Source organism: Homo sapiens, chromosome 8 (assembly GCF_000001405.40).
Source record: "Homo sapiens chromosome 8, GRCh38.p14 Primary Assembly".
NCBI classification, from domain to species: Eukaryota; Metazoa; Chordata; class Mammalia; order Primates; family Hominidae; genus Homo; species Homo sapiens.
The window spans coordinates 31,019,261-31,042,393 of NC_000008.11; the positions used below are offsets into that span (position 1 = coordinate 31,019,261).

The window sequence follows — 23,133 nt, forward strand, 5'->3', positions numbered from 1 at the left end:
AAATTATTTAAAAATATGTTAGTTATAGAAAATGGGCTCAATGAGTGTTCAGGTGAAACACCTCTAATTTTTTTTTTTTTTTTTTTTTTTTTAGAGGGAGTCTTGCTCTGTTGCCCAGGCTGGAGTCTAGTGGCTCAATCTTGGCTCACTGCAATCTCCACTTCCTGTGTTCAAGTGATTCTCCTGCCTCAGCCTTCCAAGTTGCTGGGATTACAGGAGCCTGCCAACACGCCTGGCTAATTTTTGTATTTTAGTAGAGACGGGGTTTCACTATGTAGGTCAAGCTGATCTTGAACTCCTGACCTCAAATGATCTGCCTGCCTCTGCCTCCCAAAGTGTTGGGATTACAGGTGTGAGCTACCATGCCCAGCCAATATCTCTTTTTTCTTTTTTTTTTGTGAGATGGAGTCTCACTCTGTCATCCCCATGCCTGGCTAATTTTTTGTATTTTTAGTAGAGATGGGGTTTCACTATGTTAGCCAGGCTGGTCTCGAACACCTGACCTTGTGATCCACCCGCCTCGGCCTCCCAAAGTGCTGGGAGTACAGGCGTGAGCCACCATGTCTGGCCCAATATCTCTAATTTTAAAGCAGTGAGTTCAATTGCTGATCTAAAGAAAAGTACTGTAGGCTGGGGGTGGTGGCTCATGCCTATAATCCCACCACTTTGGGAGGCCAAGGCGGGTGGATCACCTGAGGTCAGGAGTTCGAGACCAGCCTGGCCAACATGGCAAAACCCTGTTTCTACCAAGAATACAAAAATTAGCTGGGCGTGGTGGCACGCGCCTGTAATTCCAGCTACTCGGGAGGCTGAGGCTGGAGAATCGCTTGAACCTGGGAGGCAGAGTTTGAAGACAAAAAAAGGTACTATAAACACAGTACAGTATATAGTTCCTCCATTCTATACGTACAGAGAGGATACAGGAAGATGGTAAAAATGCGATATGCTTTTAGAAGAAATTAGTATATTTCTCACCATTTATATATCTTGAGATAATCAGCAATTTAAGCTCTAGCCTTTAAATTCTGTTTACTTAGCGTATTCTAGTAACTATGAACAATTTGAGCTACATGATGTATGTCACAAAATGGAAAACTAAGGGATTAAATTAATTCCAAGGTCTTTTAAGTCCTAATATTTAATAGTCATTAAACTTGTATTAATAATTCTTAGGTAGAGAAATTGTTCACTTTTCTTTACCAAGATTTATATACTATAATTACAAAATAAATTAAAAATATGCATCAGTCTCCATATATTTAAAAGCTAAGCTTTTCACATGAGGCTTCATAACTGTTAATTCCTATCAGATTTCTCTCAAGATAGCTGTTGAAAAATGAGAGGGAATCAGAAAGGTTATTCAAAAGGGAAGAAAATAATTTTTTACAAAACTCTGGTCAACTTATTAAAAAGTTGCTTGTTTCAAGATTTGTAAGCTTGTCAAGGCAGAAGAAGGAGTAGCTCTCAGTCTTCTTTCTACCCAGATACCCTAGTTGTTTTGACCGAGTTTTTCCATCACTATCTTCTGTAGCTAAGGTAAAATCTCATCAGCTGACAGCAGTGTGGTTCTTAAAGTGCGGTCCCCCTAGATCACAGCATCCACTCTCCTTAGGACTGTTAGAAATGCATATTCTTGGTCTTCTCCCCACCTCACCAGTCCTACTGAACAGAAACTCTGAGCTGGGGCCAGCAATCTGTGGTTTAACAAACCATCAAGATGATTTGTATTCACACTGAAGTTTGAAAATTAGTGCCCTATAGTAATGGGGAAAAATATGTATCTGTAAATGGAGAATTATCTGTTTATTGTACTGGAATTAAGAGAAAGAGGAGGAAATTTGGTAATTAAATATGAAAATGAGTGGAATGATATAGGGAGGAGTATGGCAGGAAAAGTTGTGAGACATCAATAAGATGGCAGGAAAAAGTTGTAAGAAATCAATAAAACTTCCAAAAATATTGATAAGATTTATTTTGAAACTAAGATAACGTAACCAGTTGTTTTTGGTTCATGAAAATGAAATTGTAGACCCATGGTGAATAGTAATTTGTCTCCTCTCTGCCCTTAGGGATGAAACTGTGAAGCTCTTCTACATTCTTATGATCTGATCCCTTTAAAAAGTTATGATCCCTTTAAAAAGTTTATTGGAAATAGTTGATCAAGATTAGAGGTTTTATCTGTAAACTAAAGATCAAATAACTTGTATTTATTAGCACCAACTTTAACCAATGGAATCCTCATATAAGCCAAGTGTCTCTTTGGTGAGACTAGTCCCACATATAGGGGACGGTTTTGGATAAAATAATTCCAAGTAAGCTGAGGCAGATGTATAGTGGCGGCTGGGGGTAGACTGTGCTTTATTAGAGTTGGAAGGATCAGCTTCATAGGAAATCTGAAAGGCAGTTTGGCCTAACTGAACGGGCACAATCGTTGGCTTTGGTGTAAATTTGGGTTCAAATACATTAGTTCTGATATTCTGAACCAGTTTATAAACCTCTGGAAAATCATATGAAAATGGGGATAATAGGGTTGTTATAAGGATTAGGAATAGTAGCTATAAGGGGCCCAGCTATGTCTAGTATACAGTGGGTGGTCCATAAGCAATAGTTATTACTACTAATAAATCTTAATTGACTCTTCCTTTTCTTACCACCTGCTCTTTTAAAATGGTCATGGTGAAACTTCTCTAGGGACCAAATTCATTTCTTTCTTTTTTTTTTTTTTTTTGAGATGGCGTCTCACTCCGTTGCCCAGGCAGGAGTGCAGTGGTGCCATCTCAGCTCACTGCAACCTCCGCCTCCTAGGTTCAAGCGATTCTCCTGCCTCAGCCTTCTGACTAGCTGGGATTACAGGAGCGTGCCACCATGCCTGGCTAATTTTGGTATTTTTAGTAGAGACGGAGTTTAACCATGTTGGTCAGGCTGGTCTTGAACTCCTGAACTTAAGTGATCCGCCCGCCTTGGCCTCCCAAAGTGCTGGGATTACAGGCATGAGCCACCACACCCAGCCTAAATTCATTTCTGAAATTACCTGTCAATCATGCTCGTCAAAAATATTTTCTGAAGATGCACTGTGTATTGAAAAGCTGGAGGAACTGACCTTTCAGTTCATGTCATCCCAAGTCAAATCTGTTTTCTATTCATCCTAAACTGTCATATAGAAATCTGGCAAGAGCGTGGAGAACAGTTCAGTGAAGTAGTAACCCTTCTTTCTTACAGTCTATAGATCAAGCTCACAGGGCAATTTCTAGATTTTCAAAGAGCAGCTCTGGTCTCTATTATGTTTCAATTGTCTTCTGAACAAATAAATAGGATGGAGTGGGTCCATGTGATAGTGAAAGAAATTAATGCCCTTACCCACTTCCAATAGGGTACAGTGTACAGGAGGGAAGAAGGAAAGAGGATTATAATGAATGGAATTTTAGAATTCTATTTTTACAACTGATTATAACATGAGATACCCTTTTTGGAACATTTACTAAGCAGCAAAAGATTTTGTTCTATTGACATTCTAGACTGACAAATCATTGGAATAAACCACATTGCTAGTTTGAAGAACCAAGAAATAAAATACAACAGTCTCTGAAGTAAATTAGCAAATGATAAGGAATGTTGTGAATTTGGGTGTCTGTATATATCTTTATCCTTACTCCTACATCATTTTCTATGGCTCTGTTGTTTTATTTTGCTCGGCAGTTTTGGCACGTAGGTGACTTCTTTTGGTAAAGTTGCTTAGAATATCTGATGGGAAGCTGAGGAAAGTTTCTACAAAATGGCAAGGGTAAAGAACTGCCAAACTAAACTATTCTCTCAAATCCCACTTAGATTTCAAACACCACTGAAAAAGAAGCAATCAAGGATTTAAAATGTATCTGCTATTTTGAGAAGAGGGAGGAGAAAAGAGAGAAAACATTTTCTAACAACAGCCAATTCATTCTATAGAATTTGTTGAAAACAGACCAACCAAATTGCTATTTTGAACCACCACCAGGGCAAAGATTAGTTATCATATGGAATGTTTCCGTAATGGAATTTATGTGCACAGAAACTTTTGAAATTAGCAAAATACACATGCATATGCACTTGAAAATACACTTCAGTTACCCTTAAATGGAGTCTCTGATAAACAAATAGGCACTAAAAGAGAGGTCTAGGGAGAAACATGTCACTCTTTTTTAAGCCTCTTCACTGGCAGTGGCGGGGCACTGCATAGCTGAGGACTGGGGTGCTTAAATACATGCTTCTCTGCATTCCAGCCTGGGCGATAGAGTGAGACTGCATCTCAAAAAAAAAAAAAAGTAATAATAAATAAATAAATAAAATAAATGCTTCTAAGACAAAACCCTTGTGTGCTGCTTCTTCTCTTTTCCAATCACCATCCTTTGACGTTTCTTAAGGCTAAAAAAAACCCCCAAACCATTAGATGTTTAATCTTTGCATACCCTAGTAGTTACAAGTCCTCTAAAACAGAACCATACAGTTCACAGGTCAGTATCCTTTCTGATGGTCTTTGTCAGACATCATTATTTCTAGCATAGGATATTGGACAGGATCAACAAAAAGGAATCGAAGACAGTAGGGACCACTACCATGACAGCTGCAGTATTATTTGGCAATGTGATCTATGGTTATTTTAGGAAAAATGGCATTTCAGGAAGTGATATTAATCTGTAAAATTCCTTTGCCATGCAGAATATAAAAAATGATTACAGAATATGCAGAAAAAAGCAATGCTCCTTCCAAATAATGAGATATTTGATATAATAAGGAGATGGGAAATAATCAATATTTAAAAATATTCCTTTTAAAAAATTAAAGTTTAGGATAGTTACGTAGTTAGTATACAACAACTTGGTCTTAATAAGGACTAGAAACAAAATTTTATTTTGTGTGGCTAAAGAAATACATACATATTATAAAACTGACATTTTTTTGCATTGTTCCGTTGGGTATCATCACAGGTTGCTGCATCATTATAGTTGTTTTTAATGTAAACAGATAAACTCTCACACTTTCCAACTCTGGTATTATCCATCTATTTTTCCTTTCACAGTCCACTGATACAGAATTTTAAACATTTAGAGTAGGAGGGAACCTTAGCTTCCAGCACAATACTGTTCATCTTTCACATGAGGAAATCATCCAACAGAAGTTGAATGATTTACTCAGGGTCAGGCCGCACCTTGGCAGAATTACGTCTTATTATTCTTTCTCAAATGCTCTTTTAAAGGTTAAACAGAGGTTGAGTTTTGAGAATGACTTATTTCTCTTAGATGAATTTCGTTACAGACAAGCAAAATAATCAGCCACTGTCTTTCTCTTTTCTATTTTTTCTTTTCTGTTTGCCACCTCTAGGCAACAACCTCATTGAATCCACAACAAAATCCTGAAGATTTCTGTATTATCCAAGAGAACCATTTTCTTTAAGAAAAATAAAATACTAAATATGTTTTGAATATAAAAGTTTCTGATAAAAGTAATCCTGACTTTAATCAGATCAAGTAAGATAATCAGATTTATACCATTATTTTGATAAAGACAAAAAAAACAACATAAGCTTTTTTTCCCCAGTCTTACACTTTGAGCAACTCTTTTAAATACTATAAACACTTTTCATCAGGGACAATTTTTCCCTTTCCCTAGGAAAATGAAAACCGAATAGAAAAATTTTTTGCAAAAATTAAGTTTAAGAGGGTAAAATGTGAAGACAGAGAACTGCTACTTAATCAGAAATAAGTAAACAATATTAAACAGGAAAGTATATATTCCATTTAAATGAGTTTTTTTCTTCATATTCATATCACAAAGTAACTTCACTATAGCAGCACTAATTCATTATGTTTTTATTTACTGGTGGATGTCACTGGCCTCAATAAAAATATGTAATTTTTCATAAGAAATATTCAAAAGAACATAAAGTTTGAAAAATATAATTTACCAGAAAGCACCAACATGGGAAGCTCTTCAATTAAGGATGGGAAATTATTAATATGCTTTAGCCTAAATTTAAGCAAAATTCATTCCTAAAGATGAATTTTTAATGAATTTTATAATGAATTATTCAGCATGAAAATAAAGGGAGCAAACTTTTATGCTTTTAAAATATGTTTAAGAGGATCTTATCTTTTAACAACACCTCTTTCATTTTGTAAACAGGACATTATGCTACCAAATATAGAGTTATTATTCTAAAGTTTAAAGCAATGCTTTAAATTTTTAAACCTTATGACATGTTCATAAAATTCACGGATACCAATCCATGAAAAAATTCTTCTTCCTCAACCCACATTTTTAAAGATATTTACAATTGTATTGGATCTTTTACTCTGGTTGCTTTAATTCATAATTAGATAGCATCTTTCAGGACTCAAGTATGGGATCTTTCATTTTTCAGATAATTTTTTCTTGGTGGTCAATAGAAAAGTCATATCAAAATGCACTCTTGATGGGAATGAAAAGAGAATTATGATTTTTGGGGACGGGTGCTCACAAAACTATTAAGGCAGCTTTGTTTATGTTTATAGGACTAGTAATAATGCTAACTTCATTAAAAAATTATATTGACCATTTTATATTCTTCCACCAGAGAGACAGTTTAGCTGTACTTGTAACCTCACAGCACTCCAGTTTTTACTCATTCCCCAAATCATCCCACTGCCTTTGGTCCCAAGACTACTGACAGACTCTTGGTCCTTCAGTGAAAAATCAATGCTTTAAACAATCGGGTCTAGAGTTACCTATTTGCTTAAACTTGGATTTGATGAGGTTGCTAAATGAACATTATACCTTTCTCATAAAGATAAAGGCTTCATGCTAATAAAGTATTTCAACAGAAATATACCTTTTTACTATAGTTCTAATACTCATTTGCTCTTATAAGGGCAAGGTCTTTGGATAAAGATAATAGTAACAGAATTAGTAAAAATTGACTGAACGTGATACTTTATTAAAGCTTTTAAATATGGGTGTTTTTCATTAGGGAATACGGTTTAAGATAACACTTGGTTAAATTATTTAATATCCTGGCACTCCTGAAGTGCACTACTTCAGGAAAAAGACCAATATATTTGTGAGGGGAATACAGGAAGGCAAGATGGCTAGGAAGAGAGAAAGGAAACTAGTAGGATGAACTGAATATTTGTATATTTAAAATACACATATATTTGCACTTTAAGTAAATACCAATGGGATTCATTCAAAATTTCCTTGATATTTCCTTGGTATAGTTAATATATTTCAAATTAAGTGATATGTTAACTAGCTCAAGTATGATATCTAAGTTAAAAAAAAGTCACTTAAAATGACAGATCTGAAATTGAATCTACTAGGTACAAGATAGTATATATAATATGTTTTCATCTGTATGTTTTAAAAAGAATATATATATATATATATATATATACATACACATATACTTGTATATGCAGAGTAACTCTAGAAGGATACACAAGAAATTGCTAACATTGGTTGCTACTTTTCACCCTCTACCCATCTGTACTGTTTCCATTTTGTACTATATGTATGTTTTTCCCTATTCAAAAATATTGATTAAAATCTCATTACCAAAATAAATTTAAATGATTTAAAATAGCATGTCAAATTAATAACAAGTACGGATTTTTTCCATTATACATGAAAATATATACTTATATTATTTTTCTAAGCTCTACCTACTAAATTTGGGTATATTTTCTTTACGACAGAGTTACTGTGATCTGAAAACCCAATTTTCACATGATATTAAGTTGGGAAAAACACATTTTCCCTGAACTTCATTGCTACAGTATGGTGGACTATGAGTTGTTTCAACAGCATGTTAACATACTTATTCTTTTTCTCTGATGGGCTAGCCATTAGCCACCATTTCTCTTTGAAATTCAAGAAATATTTAAGGAAATTTCAGAAGGATTTAAGATCCTTTTCAGGCCGTGATAAATATTACACCTGTATTATTCTGTAGGCATAGAATCAATGTTAACTCCTCTTTGTATGTTGTCAAAGATGTTTGGTGTTTTAGTAAAGACAGACTTCAAACTAAGTGGTGACTAAGCAAACCCCTTACATAAAGCTTTGAATAGGATTTCATAAATAGTTCCAATGAAAAACATTTGGAGATAAGAAGGAAAAAAAGCTCACACTTATGAAAAAATTATTTTCAGAAAACCACTTAAAATTCAAATTAAGTCCTATTCATTTAAATATTAAAATATACCATAAACCCAAATTTAAAGGAATGATAATACATACATCAGCTTTCAATGGTAGCTGCTTATTTAAAATGAGCATCTGAGGGTATATTCCAGTTTCATCCTCTTCAAATTGTGCAGCTCAGATAAATGTTTATTTTATGGAAAATATTTGCAAAATTACAATATAAATACATGATTATATTAAGGTAGGATGACTATATAATTTATTCTTATCTATAGATATAAAATGAACTCAGTAAATATAGCACACTCTTGATGAATTGTTAGTACACAGTGTTTCTCAGTAAAGTATTATTAAGCAACAGTTATCTAGTTTTCAAATGTACATCTTAAGAAGCTTTTAAGATGGAAGGATACACTAAATCCCCCAATACCCTTTTTAGTTGGGGAAGGTTAGTACTTCTGTGAATTCTGAGATATCATATTTGTGTTAGTGACTGTTCATAGGTTCCTTGCATTTCCTTAACTTGAAACCTTACTTCTTTAGTCTGAATGTTCTTTAAATAATGCCACATCAGCTAACCACACTTTTAATTTGAGTATAATATTATGTACTGCATATTTATTCATTACTTAAACACATATCAACAATGAAACAATGATTGAAAAAAATTTTGTCTAGACAAATTCCCCAAATTAACTGTCAGGGCACTGTGGGGAATCTCAACTAAATATAGTCTCAACTGTAATAAGAATTTGGGTTAGAAATAGTATTTTATTTATTCTAGTTCTTAAGACATCAAATGTGAACTCTACTTTAAAATTCTTTGTTAAATATACTGGGATTTGTTTCAAAAGCATCTTCTACCCTTCTCCATTACACTGATTTAATGGAAACCTGTTACAACAACAGTTCCAACACAAACATATGCATGCACGGGATCACCTTATAGATTCTAGCTACATAGTTATTGAAACACATCCCACCTGTCAAGTGGCATAAATGTACATCTTCTATATACAAAAGGTAAAGTGCATTATTAAATTAGTGAACTGACAGATTGTCTGCCTGGACCATACAGCTTTCAAATAGACAAATGTGAAATTCTCATATTAGAACCAATTATTTCAAGAGGTTCCAACTAGCTTTTCCACCCTGTCATTTATTTTTTTGGCCATGCTCTTTAGTGCAAATAAGCTTGTGTTTGACTCAAGTTTCAGGGACATGGCAGTCTGGGGCTTTAACAAGGAAAATTATAAAATGTAGAGGAACTTTAATATCTTTATAATACATTGCATCTTTTGCATAAAGCAACAGATTAGTGCTGCTTTCGATTGCTAGGAGCACACTGCCAACTATCAAGAGGAACCCGTTTCCAAATTTCATACTATTAGCTTATATTACTACAGTTTGAGCCTGTACCACATTATGCTTGGATTATTAGGTGCAAACATCATCAGTGTTTTAGAATTATACAGTGAACTAGTACTTTTGGTTACTAACTTTCATGCTCATTTTTTAACTTCTAACTTCCAGTTGCCTTAAGAGTTTAATGTCTTCAAGGCAGGGATTCTGTTATTTTGAAGGATACCATGAACACTTGCAGCTCCATGTATGTTACAAATGACAATAAATAAAATGCATATTGCACAGATAAGAATAGTAGCTTATTTTATAAGATACATGGCAATACATGTCCTAAGACCAGAGTTTTGAACTGGATCATATTTAATTACGGCTAATGAATTCTTGGGAATTTTAAGTATCAAAAAGTCATAGCATCATCTCATTTTTGAATGATTAACTATGAAAAAAATGAAACAAAAGGACTGGCAGAAGGCTTAATAATTTTAGAGTATACTCAATTGCCAGTATATATGCATCTATTTAATCTGCAGCTTTGAGATGGTAAAAACTTTGAAGTATACATACAAAGTAGAAAATCTGGCTGCTTAACTAATTCTTTACTTAAATAATTAATGGAAAACTAAATTTAATAATGTTTATATACAATGAGTTAAAGATATTTATCTTTAAGTCTGACATGGTATTGTATGTATGTATACACACATATATATGTATACATGTATATACATATGTCTGTGTGTATATATATAGATATAGACACATACCCAAATCTTATCAGACCCAAAAGGTAAAAGGAAATCATTTAGACCTAATGGATATAAATATTTTAGAAAGGAAGACTTTAAGAGAGTGTATACACTCATAGCAATAGCGATAGGAACAATCAAATACTAGAATATTCACAGCTCCAGTTTGCCAAAATCTGACAGGTTGATTATTATTAATAGGCACTATGATGGGCAGCAATAACAATCAGTAGTACAGTAATTCAAGTGCACATCATTCCTTCATAGACCAAAAACTACTTTTTTAGCAAGCCTACATAGTTATTTTACAGTTAGGACTGTTTAAAAATCCTTGCTACTTTTAGAGTCTCAACACCCACCATGTGCTATTAGCTCTAGTACTAACATTATCTCCTAACCTTCAGTTGTTCCATAGTGATCCAGATGGTCCACAATTATAATGAACTAATGAGATTCCTTCACGCTACTAGAGGAAATGTGAAATACAATCTGCAAACCAACACTAGTATATATGTCGGGGTTACTGATTGCTTGTTCTTAAGTAACATAAACCAATGAAATTAATTTTTTTAATTCATACCATCAAGTTTTCTTAGTGACCTCACGTAAAGGTATTGGGGGACAAAACTCTGGAAGAAAAAAATCGCTGATATAATTTTAAATTACTTTTAGCATATAAAAGAAGAGCTACATTCTGATTTGAATCCATGCAGCCAGCTCTCATCAATGAGAGTGATATTTGGGGGTTGAAATCAGTGTTCTGGCTCTTAAATATGATTAGATGGACTTATTGTGTGGGAGGTGAATAAAGCCAAGATAAAAGACAATAATTTCATTCAGAAGAAAATATAGCTGAATAGATGTAATTTCAGTCAATTAATACAGGATGGGTTGGTACACATATAACACTATATCCACTTGTTTAAAAAATTGCTTAGGTGTTGAAAAATTGCTGTGGCACTTCCTGGAAAGTAATTTTTAATACAGGTAAATGGGTGAGTCTTGTGTAAAGTCAGAAAGAGCACCTTGGAAAATGCCTGAATTTTCCTTTCAAATATATTTATAACCAATCTTCAAATAATATTTTTCTCAGACTGGAAATTTGTATTCTAAATTATTTTTAGAAAAAAAAAATCCCCACCCCCTCCAGAATTAAAACACCTGTAAAATTCAGGATTATATTGGAAGTGTTGACATGGTTTTAAGGGTAGCAATTGCAAAAGTGCTACTAAAATATATTATTACAGGTATATTTTTATATCAGTTAATTGGTACACCAACCCTTCTGAAAGAGTGTTAAAGAAGAAGCATAAAGTATAACACCTTGAGTCCATGATATATTTTGGGGAAGAAACCTCTTGCAATCTTTAAATTAGCATGAAAAGCTACACCACCAAGATTTCCATAGCAAAGCCATTGGATGAAGCCTCCCACTCAATGTGACATAAAAGTAATTCCTGAAACTTTGGAAAGTCAATAAAAATATATGGAACATTAAGTAGAGGTAAAGAAGGGATTGTAACTAAACTTAGAATAACGAATTAAAACTCTCCCATGGCTTTGATATGGCAACTATAAAATGTAGGGTTACCACAAAGTTTGAAATTATAGAATACTATAGTATTCTTAAGAAATATTATGACATTATATTTTTAAGGTTTAATTAGGTAATAAGATTTGATCCTTTGATGGTATATTCAGTTATTCAACGGACAATATACGTCTACTTGTACTTTTATAAGTAAATATTTATATATACCGGAGGTCAATTTCTGTTTCTGTGGTAACTGCCCTACAGGTAAGCTTAGCAGCTTTTAATGAAGTAGAATTGAAATACTTTTGGGGGAAAGTCACACTTCTATTTAAGTATATGTATCTTTTTTCGGGATTATGTCATAGTGCAATGTAAATCTTAGTTATGGTATTTAGAATGTCAGAATGTCACATTTTGTGCTGATTTGCATACTTCAATAGTCTGGAGCAGTTGAAGCAGCTAAACTATTTAGCTCTGGGAAGGTTGGAATTCCCGTAAGAATTATAGTGATCTATGTGTAACATAACATGAGAATCAGACTTCCTGAAGTATCAACTACTAGAGGTATTACTAATAACAACGGGCCAAAAAAGAGGAAAAACTTCTTCAAAGGATAATGGATCAGTACTTTTAGCCAATTTGTGATTTTAAATTTTGCCTGATGGAGTTCAATTTCACTCTAGTCGAGGCATTCTTGTTCTTCACCACTGGCCTTTCTGCCATCCATTCTCTTTTCTTTATGGCTGTTGCAAATTTTCCTCATCTCTTCTTCATACTTGATAAAATTCTCCCCAAACCTTGTCCAAGCTTTGAATGGAACAGTAATAGTATTACGGTAAGGTGGTCTCACCTCACTTACCTTCAGGAAAATTCCATATTTATTAGAGCCCACATCAAAGTAGAACCTTTTATTGTCCACTCTGAAAGAAGTCCCCTCTGGGAGTTCAAGCGGGTCATCGTCTCCACCTCTTCGTTCTTCTATGTCTCCTTCGCCATAGTCTTCAATCAGCTGAACCAAGGCATCACGAAACTCAATCATTCCTTGTGCTGGGAGGACAATAGTCTGTTCTTGGCCCAAACTGTGGCCAAAATAACCTATCATGCCAGTCCCCCGCATCATGGTTTGTCTAATCCGTAGGAAGCGACCCCGCTGATTTTCCTTTAGGTCTAGGTAATATTTCCTATTGTCCCTCTCGATATAGTCTGTTTTCAGGACACTGTGAGGATGCTCTTCGGACCCCACCGAGACTGGTGGGGAGGGTGCCGAGTGCTTCTGCCTCCTTCTGGAGCCTTGCTCTTTGCTGTGGCCATGCTCTTGCCGGTGGCCTTTCAGGCCCAGGTGGGCATAGTGCTCGATGAAGTCCCCTAGACAGTCCTTCAGCTCCGCTGCCACAGACAGGGAGAGGGTCAGTTTACTCTTTCTGATGTTGTCCTGCCGGCCTCTCCCTATCCAGACTTCGGCTATCTTTAGGAAGCGGCCCCGGGAGCTTTGCTTCACGTCTAGGTAAAACCTCTTTTTCTGGATGTCCACTCGTTTGGAGGCCAGCTCCTGGATTTCGGCTGCGCCCCCGGCCTGATTAGGGGTGGCTGAGGCCGCGTAGTGGGGGTAGTGGGAGTGCTGGGCCTGGGGATAGAGTCTACTCTTGCTTAGGCCAGAGCCCCCTACATTCTTGCCTCCGCGGCCGCGGCCGCCGCCGCCTCCCCTTCGCCTGGCTCTTTCCATCTTCAGCTGCAAGTAACAAACAGACACACGGGATGGGGTGGGGGAGGGGTGTTGAGAACAATCGCAGACGCCCCTCGGCCTGACCGCCCCGCCGCCGCCCGCGACCCCCACGCCGGGCCCGGCTCCCCCGGCGCCGCAGCGCGGGGCTCCAGCCACTGCCGGCCGGTTGGCGGCCGCCGCTCCGGCTCTGCCCGCGCTCCCCGCATCCCTCCGCCGCCCCCGGGGCCGCTCCCGCACGCCGCCGCCGCCCGTCCCGCGCTCCGCGGCCCCAGGTCTCCAGCCGGCGGGCACTCACATCATCTCTGCCATCACCGCCGCCGCCGATGCCCTTCACGACCACCGCCGCCGCCACCGCCAGCTCTCGGCCCCTCTGCTGCAGCCGCCGCAGCCGCCGCCCCCCGCCTCCTCCCCCGCCGCCGCCGCTCGCACTGCCCCCCGCCGGAGCAGCCGGGCAGGGGCATCGCCCGCGGCGCCCACCGCAGCCGCCCCTCCTGCGGCCGCTGCGGGGGCCGCCGCCTGACTTCGGACACCGGCCCCGCACCCGCCAGGAGGGGAGGGAAGGGGAGGCGGGGAGAGCGACGGCGGGGGGCGGGCGGTGGACCCCGCCTCCCCCGGCACAGCCTGCTGAGGGGAAGAGGGGGTCTCCGCTCTTCCTCAGTGCACTCTCTGACTGAAGCCCGGCGCGTGGGGTGCAGCGGGAGTGCGAGGGGACTGGACAGGTGGGAAGATGGGAATGAGGACCGGGCGGCGGGAATGTTCTCACTTCTCCGGATTCCACCGGGATGCAGGACTCTAGCTGCCCAGCCGCACCTGCGAAGAGACTACACTTCCCGAGGTGCTCAGCGGCAGCGAGGGCCTCCACGCATGCGCACCGCGGCGCGCTGGGCGGGGCTGGATGGGCTGTGGTGGGAGGGTTGCAGCGCCGCGAGAAAGGCGAGCCGGGCCGGGGGCGGGGAAAGGGGTGGGGCAGGAACGGGGGCGGGGACGGCGCTGGAGGGGCGGGTCGGGTAGGTCTCCCGGAGCTGATGTGTACTGTGTGCGCCGGGGAGGCGCCGGCTTGTACTCGGCAGCGCGGGAATAAAGTTTGCTGATTTGGTGTCTAGCCTGGATGCCTGGGTTGCAGGCCCTGCTTGTGGTGGCGCTCCACAGTCATCCGGCTGAAGAAGACCTGTTGGACTGGATCTTCTCGGGGTAAAGTGTCTTCCTATTCCCGTTTTCCCAGCTCCGTGCCCCGGGGTATCTATAGTGCTAGGCTTCTGAGACACGTGGAGGCGCTTAGGCCCGCGGAGCAGGCCCCTGGGCTGTGTTTGGGAGATTCTGGAAAAACAGACTTTCTCCCTTTTCCTTTCCCCTCTGGAGCAGCTGGGAAAGGCGTCTCTCGGAGCTTCCGCCATTCAGAAAGTGTTTCCCCGCCCCTGACGGCCCCAGCTTGATGTTTACCTTGCGCGCTTAGTTAGGATTGCTCTTTCTAGTACGGCCTTTATTATGGCAGAAATTGAGCCACTACAGGTCTGCACAGCAAAGTCGAGGGAAATAACCTGCTGTCTATGATTTAGCAAGTGATGATGGATATTTTTGAGTTCAAATCACTCAGTCTTTAATGGATTTTCTTTTCTTTTTTTCCTAGTTGAATCTCAGTTGTTCTCAGGCTAGGTTTGATATGAAAAATACTACTCCCTATTGAAGAGGGTAATATAATTCTTAGGATGCTAATACAGGAGTCTGTAAGTCGGAGTACTTCAGGCTTTTTATGGTTCGGTACATTTCTTTTTAGGGGTGGGATATTGGGATAAGTAGGACAGTTCAGATCTTGATGTCATTGAATAGTGGTGTCTACCTAAAAGGAAGAGGCTGGGGCACAAAATTATAATTTAAAGTGTTTACTTCAGCCAAAATGAGGACAGCTGCCCAGGACTCATTTCCCAGTTGCCTTGGGGAGTGCTCCTTCAGCCTTGGTTACAAGCAGGTTTTTAAAGGCGAAGGGGAAGAGTGGGCTGAGACAAAGTTGGTCAGGAATTGTTATTGGTTTACAGAGATACCATTGCTTAGTGATTGGCTGTACACTGTAACTCATAGGGTATGAGTTATCGTGTCCAGCATATGGCATTTTATGGCTTCTTGGTTCCAGTCTAGAGCCCATATAGCAGGTGGGCTTTAAGAGATAATTATCCAGCTCAGACCGGGAGTGAGACGGGACTGTTTTTTCATTCTAATGCCTCTCTGGGCCTGATAATTTAAAGGGGCTTGCATTCTTCAGCTAAAATTTTATTTTCTTTTATTTTTTTTCCCCCACAGTGGTCTCCCTTTATTAATCCAACAAATGTTTATTAAGGACTGCTCTAGGCACTAGAGATACCAACAATGAACAAAACAGACAAACATCTCTCTCCTTTTGGAGCTTACATTTTAGTGGAAAGAGACAGGCAAAAAGTAAAATTATAGGATGACAGAAGGTGAAAATAGAGATTAAAAAGGAAAGGGGGATGAAGAGTGTGTGTGTGTGTTGTGGGTGGGGGGCTGTAGGGAGCTGCAGTTTTACAATAAGTGGTCAGGGACGTCCTCGCTGAGAAGGGAATTTTTGAGTCCAGAGCTCAAGGAAGTGAGAGAACTTACCTTGACGTTCTCTGGAGGAGAAGAAAGTACAAAGGCCCTGGGGGAACCTGCCTCTTTATGTTCAGAGAGCAACTTAAGAGGCCTAGTGAGCTGGAGCAGAGCGGAGAGGAGGTCAGAGGTCAGGCCAGAAAGGGAAAGGGGCCAGAATGTGTAGGACTTTATGGGCTATATTGAAAATTGGGGCTTTCATTCTGAGGGAGATGGGAAGCTGTTGGAGAGTTGTTAGGGAAACGTGATCTGAATTATGTTTCTAAAAAATTGGAGTAAGATATCATAAAATTTGCCATCTTAGTCTTTTTTGTATCTGGCCAATTCCACTCAGAATTCTTTTTTAAACAGCTTTATTGAGATATAATTAATATATCATATGATTCACTCATTTAAAGTGTGCAATACAATGGTTTTTAGTTTGTCTTCAGAGTTGTACAACCTTTATCACAATTACCTTTAGGACTTTTTCATTACCCAAAAGAGAATCTCCATAACCATTAGTACTCAATCCCACCCGCTTTCCTAGCAATCACTTACCTATTTTTTTGTCTCTATATAGCTCTCAAACCCTATGATATTCCTTCTATCTAACTGTATTTTTGTACTCATTAACAGCCTCTCTTCATTCCCACCACCCATCCATCCCAGCCTCTGGTAATCACCATTCTACTTACTACCTCAATGACATCAAATTTTTTAGCTCCCACATATAAGTGAGAACATGCGATATTTGTCTTTCCCTGCCTGGTTTATTTCACTTAACAGAATGTCTTCCAGTTCCATTCATGTTGCTGCAAATGACAGGATTTCATTCTTTATTATGGCTTAATACTATTCCATTGTATATGTATATCACATTTTCTTTATCCACTCATCTGTTGATGGACAGTTAGCTTGATTCCATATTCTGGCTATTGTTGAATAGTGCTGCAGGAAACATGGAAGTGCAGATAGCTCTTTGACATACTGATTTCATTTCCCTTGAATATATACCCTGTAGTGGATTTGCTGGACCCGCTTGTAGTTCTACATTTAATATTTTGAGTTATTTCCATAATGTTAGTAATAATTTACATTCCCACCAACAGCGAGGAAGGAGTTCCCTTTTCTCCACATCCTCGCCAACACTTATCTTTTGTCTTTTTGGTAATAGCCATTCTAACAGGTGTGAGGTGATATCTCATTGTGATTTTGATTTACATTTCCCTGATGGTTATTGATGAGCAATGTTTCATATACTTGTTGGTTATTTGTATATCTCCTTTTGAGAAATGTCTATTCAGGTCTTTTGCTCATTTTTTAAATATGGTTTTTTAATTTTTTTATTTTTTTGCTATTGAGTTGTTTGACATCCTTAAACATTTTGGAAATTAACCTCTTATTAGATGTATAGTTTGCAAATATTTTATCCGATTCTGTAGATTCTGTCTTCAGTCTGTTGAATTTGCTGTGCAGAGAAGCATTTTATTTTGATGTAATCCCTTTGTCTATTTTTGCTTTTGTTACCTTTGCTTTTGAAGTCATATCCAAAAAATCATTGCCCAGATCAGCAGTCCCCAACCTTTTTGGTACCAAGGACTGGTTTCATCGAAGACAATTTTTCCATCCACAGGAGGGAGGGGATGGTTTCAGGATATTTCAAGCGCATTACATTTATTGTGCACTTTGTTTCTATTATTATTACATTGTAATATATAGTGAAATAATTATACAATTCACCATAATGTAGAATCACTGGGAGCCCTGAGCTTGTTTTCCTGAAACTTGAGGGTCCTATCTGGGAGTGATGGGAGACAGTGACAGTTCATAAGGCATTAGGTTCTTCTAAGGAGCATACAACCTAGATCCCTTGCATGCGCAATTCACAGTAGGTTTTGCGCTGCTATGAGAATCTAATGCCACCGTTGATGTGTCAGGAGGTGGAGCTCAGGTGGTAACGTGAGGAATGGGGAGCAGCTGTAAAGAAAAATGAAGCTTCGCTTGCTTGCCTGCTGCTCACCTACTGCTTTGTGGCCTGGTTCCTAACAGGCCATGGACTGGTACTAATCTGTGGCCCTGGGGTTGGGAACCTCTAGCCCTGACCAATGTTAGGGAGCTTTTTTCCTGTGTTTTCTTCAAGTGGTTTCATGGTTTGGGGTCTTACATTTAAGTCTTTAGTCCATTTTGAGTTGATGCTGTATGTGGTGAGAGATAATTGACTACTTTCATTCTTTTGCATATGGTTATCAGTTTTCCCAACACCGTTTATTGAAGAGCCTGACCTTTCCCCATTGTGGGTTCTTGGCTCTTTTGTCAAAAATCAGTTGGCTATAAATATGTGGTTTTATTTCTTGGGTCTCTGTTCTGTTCTATTATCTGTGTGTCTCTTTATGCCAGTACCGTGCTGTTTTAATTACTAGAGTTTAGTATATTTTGAAGTCAGGTAGTGTGATGCCCCTAGCTTTGTTCTTTTAGCTCAACATTGCTTTGGCTATTCAGAGTCTTTTGTGAGGATAATGTTTTCAAGGTTCACCCATGTTGTGGCATGTATCAGAACTCGATTTCTTTTTATGGCTGAATAATATTCCATTTGTTTATATTATATATATGCCATATTTATTTATTCATATGTTGATGGACACTTAGGTTGTTTCCACCTTTTGGCTATTGTGAATAATGCTGTTATTAACATTGGTGTACAAGAATCTGTTTGAGTTCCTATTTTCAATTCTTTTGGGAATATACCTACGTGTGGACTTACTAGATCACATGGTAAGCTTTTAGTTTAGCTTTTTAAGGAACTGCTAAAACTGTTTTTCCATGGGAGCAGTGTACAAGTGTTCCAGTTCTCCATATGCTCACCAAAACTTAATTTCCTTTTTTAAAAATTATAGCTATCCTAGTAGGTGGTGGGAAGTGGTATCTTACTGTGGTTTTATTTTGTATTTCTTTAATGACTAATGATGTTGAGCATCTTTTAATGTGCTTATTGGCCATTATATGTCTTCTTTGGGAACTGTCTATTAAGTCCTTTGCCCATTTTTTAATTGAGTTTTTTTTTCTGTTGAATTGTGGGAGATCTTTATATATTCTGAATATTAAACCCTTATTGGGTGTATGATTTGCAAATAATTTCTCCCATTTTGTGGGTTTTCTTCACTTTTTGATATTGTTCTTTGATTCACTTTTAAATTTTTATAGAGTCCAGTTTATCTGTTTTTTCTTTTATTACCTATGCTTTTGGCATCATACCTAATTCCCAAATCCAATGCCATGAAGATTTTCTGTTATGTTTTCTTTTAATAGTTTTATAGTTTTACTTTTTCTATTGGAGTTTTAAGTAAATTCTTGTATATTAGTGTGATACATTTTAAGTTATTTTTGTATATGGTGTGAGGTAGGGGTCCAACTTCACTCTTTTCCATATGGAGATCCAGTTGTCCCAGCACCACATGTTTAAGAGTCTATTCTTTCCCCACTGAATGGACTTGGCACCCTTGTCAAAAATCAATTGGTGGTAAATGTATGGATTTACTCCTGGAATCTCAATTCTATTCTATTGTATTTATATTTCTGTCCTTATGCCTGTACCACACTGTTTTGATTACAGTAGCTTTGTAGTAAGTTTAGAAATTGGGAAACATGAGTCCTCCAACTTTGTTCTTCTTTTCAAGATTATTTTGGCTATTTGGGGTCCCTTGCAATTCTGATGAGTTTGAGGATCACCTTTTCCATTTCTGCAGAAAAGCCTTTTGATAGGGATTGCATTGAATCTGTAGATAACTTTGGGTAGTATTGACATCTTAACAATATTAAGTCTTTCTATGCATAAACATGGGATATCTTTCCATTTATTTGTGTTTTCTTTAATTTCTTTCAGCAGCATTCTGTAGTTTTCAGAGTACACGTTTTTCACCTCCTTGGTTAAATTTATTCCTTGGTATTTTATTCTTTTAGCTGCTATTGTAAATGCAGTTACTTTCTTAGTTTCCTTTCAGATTGTTCATTTCTGGTGTATAACAACAGCTGATATTTCAACGTTGATGTTGTACTCTGAAACTTTGTTGAATTTACTTATTAGATCTAGTAGCTTTCTTTGAGATTTTTATATGGGATTATGTCATCTGTATATAGAGATAGTTTTACTTCTTCCTTTCCATTATGGATGCCTTTTATTTCTTTTCCATGTCTAATTTCTCTGGCTAGAACTTTCAATATGATGTTGAAAAGCAGTGGTGAAAGTGGGTATCTTTGTCTTGCTTCCTATCTTAGGTGGAAAGCTTTCAGTCTTTCACCATTAAGTATGGTGTTAGCTGTGGGTTTTCATAAATGCCCTTTATCATGTTGAGGAAATACCCTTTTATTCCTAGTTTTCTGAGTTTTTATCATGAAAGGGTGTTGGATTTTGTCAAATGCCTTTTCTGTGTCAATTGAAATGATCATGTATTTTTCCTCCCTTATCTTAATGTAATGTGTTATATTGATTAATTTTCTTATGTTGAACCACCCTTGCCTTTCTGGGGTAAATTTCAGTCACTTATGTTATATAGTCCTTTAAATTGTGTTATCTTATAACAGAATCACTCTGCTACTGTTTTGAGCATAGGCCATAGGGAAAAGCAGGTAAAAGGTAATATGGCTTGAACCAACATTGTAGCAGCGGAAGTGGTGAGAGGAGGTCGAATTTTGGCTTTGTTTTGAAGATAGAACCAACAGTATTTGCTGACAGATTAGATGCAGAATGTGAAAGGAGGAGATGAGTCAGGATGAATCCAAGGCTTTTGGCATGAGCAACCAGAAAGATGAAGGTGACTTACTAAGATGGGAAATATACAAAAGGAGCAGTTTGGGGAAACTTTATATCTATTGAGTGGAATATGCCAATTAGAGATTCAAATATCCAGTAAATAATTGGCTATCAAAGTTTGAAGTTAAGAGGAATGGTCTAGGCTGTTTATATAACTTTGGAAGTCATTAGTGTATAACAGCTAATTTAAAAGCCAGCAGACTCTAAGGGAGTGAGTGTAGAGGGAGAAGAGTAGAGGTCTGTGACTTGAATCCTGGAATGCTGTGATGTTTAGAGATTGGGGAGGTAAGAAGGAGCAGCAGAGTATACTGAAAAGGGATTGTTATACTGAAAAGGGATTGATATAGATGGAGACTCAAGAATTATCACAGAAACCTGATAAAATGTTTCAAGAAGATGGGTGTGATTAATTGTGTCACTTACTGCCGGTACATTGACTCAGATGAGCGTTGAGAATTGGCTATAGGATTTGACAACATAAAAGTCATTGGAAACCTTGACATGAGCCCTTTTCGTGGAGTGGAGTGGTTACAGTGGGTTTAAGAGAGGATTAAAGGAGTGGAAACAGAGATGCTATTATAGATGACTCGTTTGAGTAGTTTTCCTACAAAGGGGAGAATAATAATGGAGCAGTTAGCCAAAAGTTGAGTTTTTTTTTCTTCTTCTTTTTTTTAGTTGGAAAAAATTGCGTATATGTTGATGGGTCTTTTCTGGCAGACCAGTAGAGAGGAAAAAGTTGATGATGTAGGAGATGGGAAAATGTCTTTGAGTAGATGTCTTCGAGAAAATGTCTTTGAGTAGATGAGAGGTTTGCACACATGGAGAGGTTGGATGTAGGAGTACTGATAGTTCATCCATAGTTACATAAGAAAAGGTAGATGTATTAGAGTTCTCCTGAGAAACAGAACCAATGGGAGATCTTTATATCTCTGTGTCCATCTCTATCTGTATTTCTGTCTCTGTATCTATGAAGAGATTATAAAAGTTTTAAGATCTGCCAGGAGACATACCCACGGGAGCTAATGGTATAGTTCCAGGCCAGTTGTGAAGGCCTGAGAACCAGGAGAGCCTATGGTGTAAGTTCCAGTCTGAGTCCAAGTCTGAAGGCAGGAGAAGACCAATGTCCCAGCTCAAAGACAGGCAGAGGGAGCAGATCTTCCCTTACTTAGCCTTTTTATTTATTCAGGCCTTCAACAAATTGAAGGCCCACCCACATTAGGGAGGGCAATCTGCTTTACTCAGTCTACTGAATCAAATGTTAGTCTCACCCAGAAACATCCTCACAGACACACCCAGAATAATGGTTAGCCAAATATCTGGGCACCCCATGGCCCACTCAAATTGACACATAAAATTAACCACCACAGTAGAGTATATGGGTACAAATATAATTATGTGATATAGATTTCAGGGTAAGAGCCTGTGGAAATTCATTTTTGATTGCTTCTAGTGAAATCGGAAGCAAGATCATCAGCTAAGAGTGACGATCGGTGGAGGAGATATGAAGTTTAAGTGGAGAGGAGAAGGTATAAAATAGTCTTAGGAGGGGAGGATAGTAAATAGATTAGGGAAAAGTTGTAGGATTGCCAGGAAGTAGTAAGGGCCCACTTGAGGCTGGTGGTCACAAATTTAAGGTGAGACCAGTCAAAATGGTTGTGCTTTTCACCTGCTGCATTCATTCAGCTGCATAGGTACAGGCACAGAGTAGGTCAAGAGTTCTTTTTTATTCGGGGTTAGAGTTTTGCCAGGAGATAGTAATAAAGCCAGAAGGGCAATGAATTTGAGGGAGTATGCAAGGAAGTGGCTGTTAACTTGGAGTTTAAACTAGTCAAGAAGAGAATTAAGGACTGCCCAAGGGGTGAGGACAATGATATGGTAGCAGGGCCCTTAAAAGCCCCAGTTAGATGAAAAGATTGTTGGAATTGAGTTTCTAGAGGGAATGAACTTGAAAAACAGGAGGTGTTGGTTGGAGAGTGGGATATATGGAATTGAGATTATGGAAGGATTCAGTCGTTGGTAATAACATAGTATCTTTGTAGGAATAAATAGGTGGAGCAGGATGCAGACAAGATCACTGGAGGAGGGCTGGTCAGAAGACTGGGAGGCACTATCTCCCTTGGATATTATACATCAAAGCTTGTGATCTACTAGACAAGTAGTGGGGAAAGGGTAGGATATAGATATTAATGGCTATAGTTTTGATGGTGATGGTCATGGTGAT

At 38.4% G+C, this 23,133-nt stretch overlaps 2 protein-coding genes across 9 annotated transcripts in view, besides 6 other annotated features; one reads left to right on the top strand and one right to left on the bottom strand.

The window, feature by feature from the left end:
- Positions 1 to 14,096, bottom strand: part of PURG (purine rich element binding protein G) — a 37,555-nt gene extending 23,459 nt beyond the window's left edge. Inside the window, exons 1-2 of one of the 4 annotated variants that reach the window (NM_001323312.2) lie at positions 13,818 to 14,096; positions 12,659 to 13,528 (exon numbers count right to left, since the gene is read on the bottom strand). In NM_001323312.2, coding sequence (NP_001310241.1) covers positions 12,659 to 13,522 — 864 coding nt within the window. In that variant the 5' untranslated portion in view covers positions 13,523 to 13,528; positions 13,818 to 14,096. Of the gene's footprint in view, positions 1 to 11,580 lie in introns of those variants that run through there. The other 3 variants (NM_001323311.2, NM_001015508.3, NM_013357.2) reach the window with 3 other exon arrangements.
- Positions 14,078 to 14,127: a silencer, noted in NCBI's record as "silent region_19091". NCBI's record gives its function as "represses an Ori minimal core promoter by ATAC-STARR-seq in GM12878 lymphoblastoid cells {active_cell/tissue: GM12878}" and the evidence as "EXISTENCE:reporter gene assay evidence [ECO:0000049][PMID:35858748]".
- Positions 14,288 to 14,547: a silencer, noted in NCBI's record as "silent region_19092". NCBI's record gives its function as "represses an Ori minimal core promoter by ATAC-STARR-seq in GM12878 lymphoblastoid cells {active_cell/tissue: GM12878}" and the evidence as "EXISTENCE:reporter gene assay evidence [ECO:0000049][PMID:35858748]".
- Positions 14,288 to 14,824: a biological region, named in NCBI's record as "H3K27ac hESC enhancer GRCh37_chr8:30891079-30891600".
- Positions 14,303 to 14,824: an enhancer, noted in NCBI's record as "H3K27ac hESC enhancer chr8:30891079-30891600 (GRCh37/hg19 assembly coordinates)". NCBI's record gives its function as "activates a minimal SCP1, AML or CMV promoter by ChIP-STARR-seq in primed H9 embryonic stem cells {active_cell/tissue: H9 hESC(primed)}" and the evidence as "EXISTENCE:reporter gene assay evidence [ECO:0000049][PMID:30033119]".
- WRN (WRN RecQ like helicase) overlaps positions 14,550 to 23,133 on the top strand; it is a 142,329-nt gene continuing 133,745 nt past the window's right edge. For all 5 annotated transcript variants that reach the window (XR_949472.4, XR_949471.4, XR_949470.4 and 2 more), the window contains exon 1: positions 14,550 to 14,713. The gene's annotated coding sequence lies outside the window, so the exon portion shown is untranslated. The remainder of the gene's footprint in view (positions 14,714 to 23,133) is intronic.
- Positions 15,518 to 15,587: a silencer, noted in NCBI's record as "silent region_19093". NCBI's record gives its function as "represses an Ori minimal core promoter by ATAC-STARR-seq in GM12878 lymphoblastoid cells {active_cell/tissue: GM12878}" and the evidence as "EXISTENCE:reporter gene assay evidence [ECO:0000049][PMID:35858748]".
- Positions 15,658 to 15,707: an enhancer, noted in NCBI's record as "active region_27216". NCBI's record gives its function as "activates an Ori minimal core promoter by ATAC-STARR-seq in GM12878 lymphoblastoid cells {active_cell/tissue: GM12878}" and the evidence as "EXISTENCE:reporter gene assay evidence [ECO:0000049][PMID:35858748]".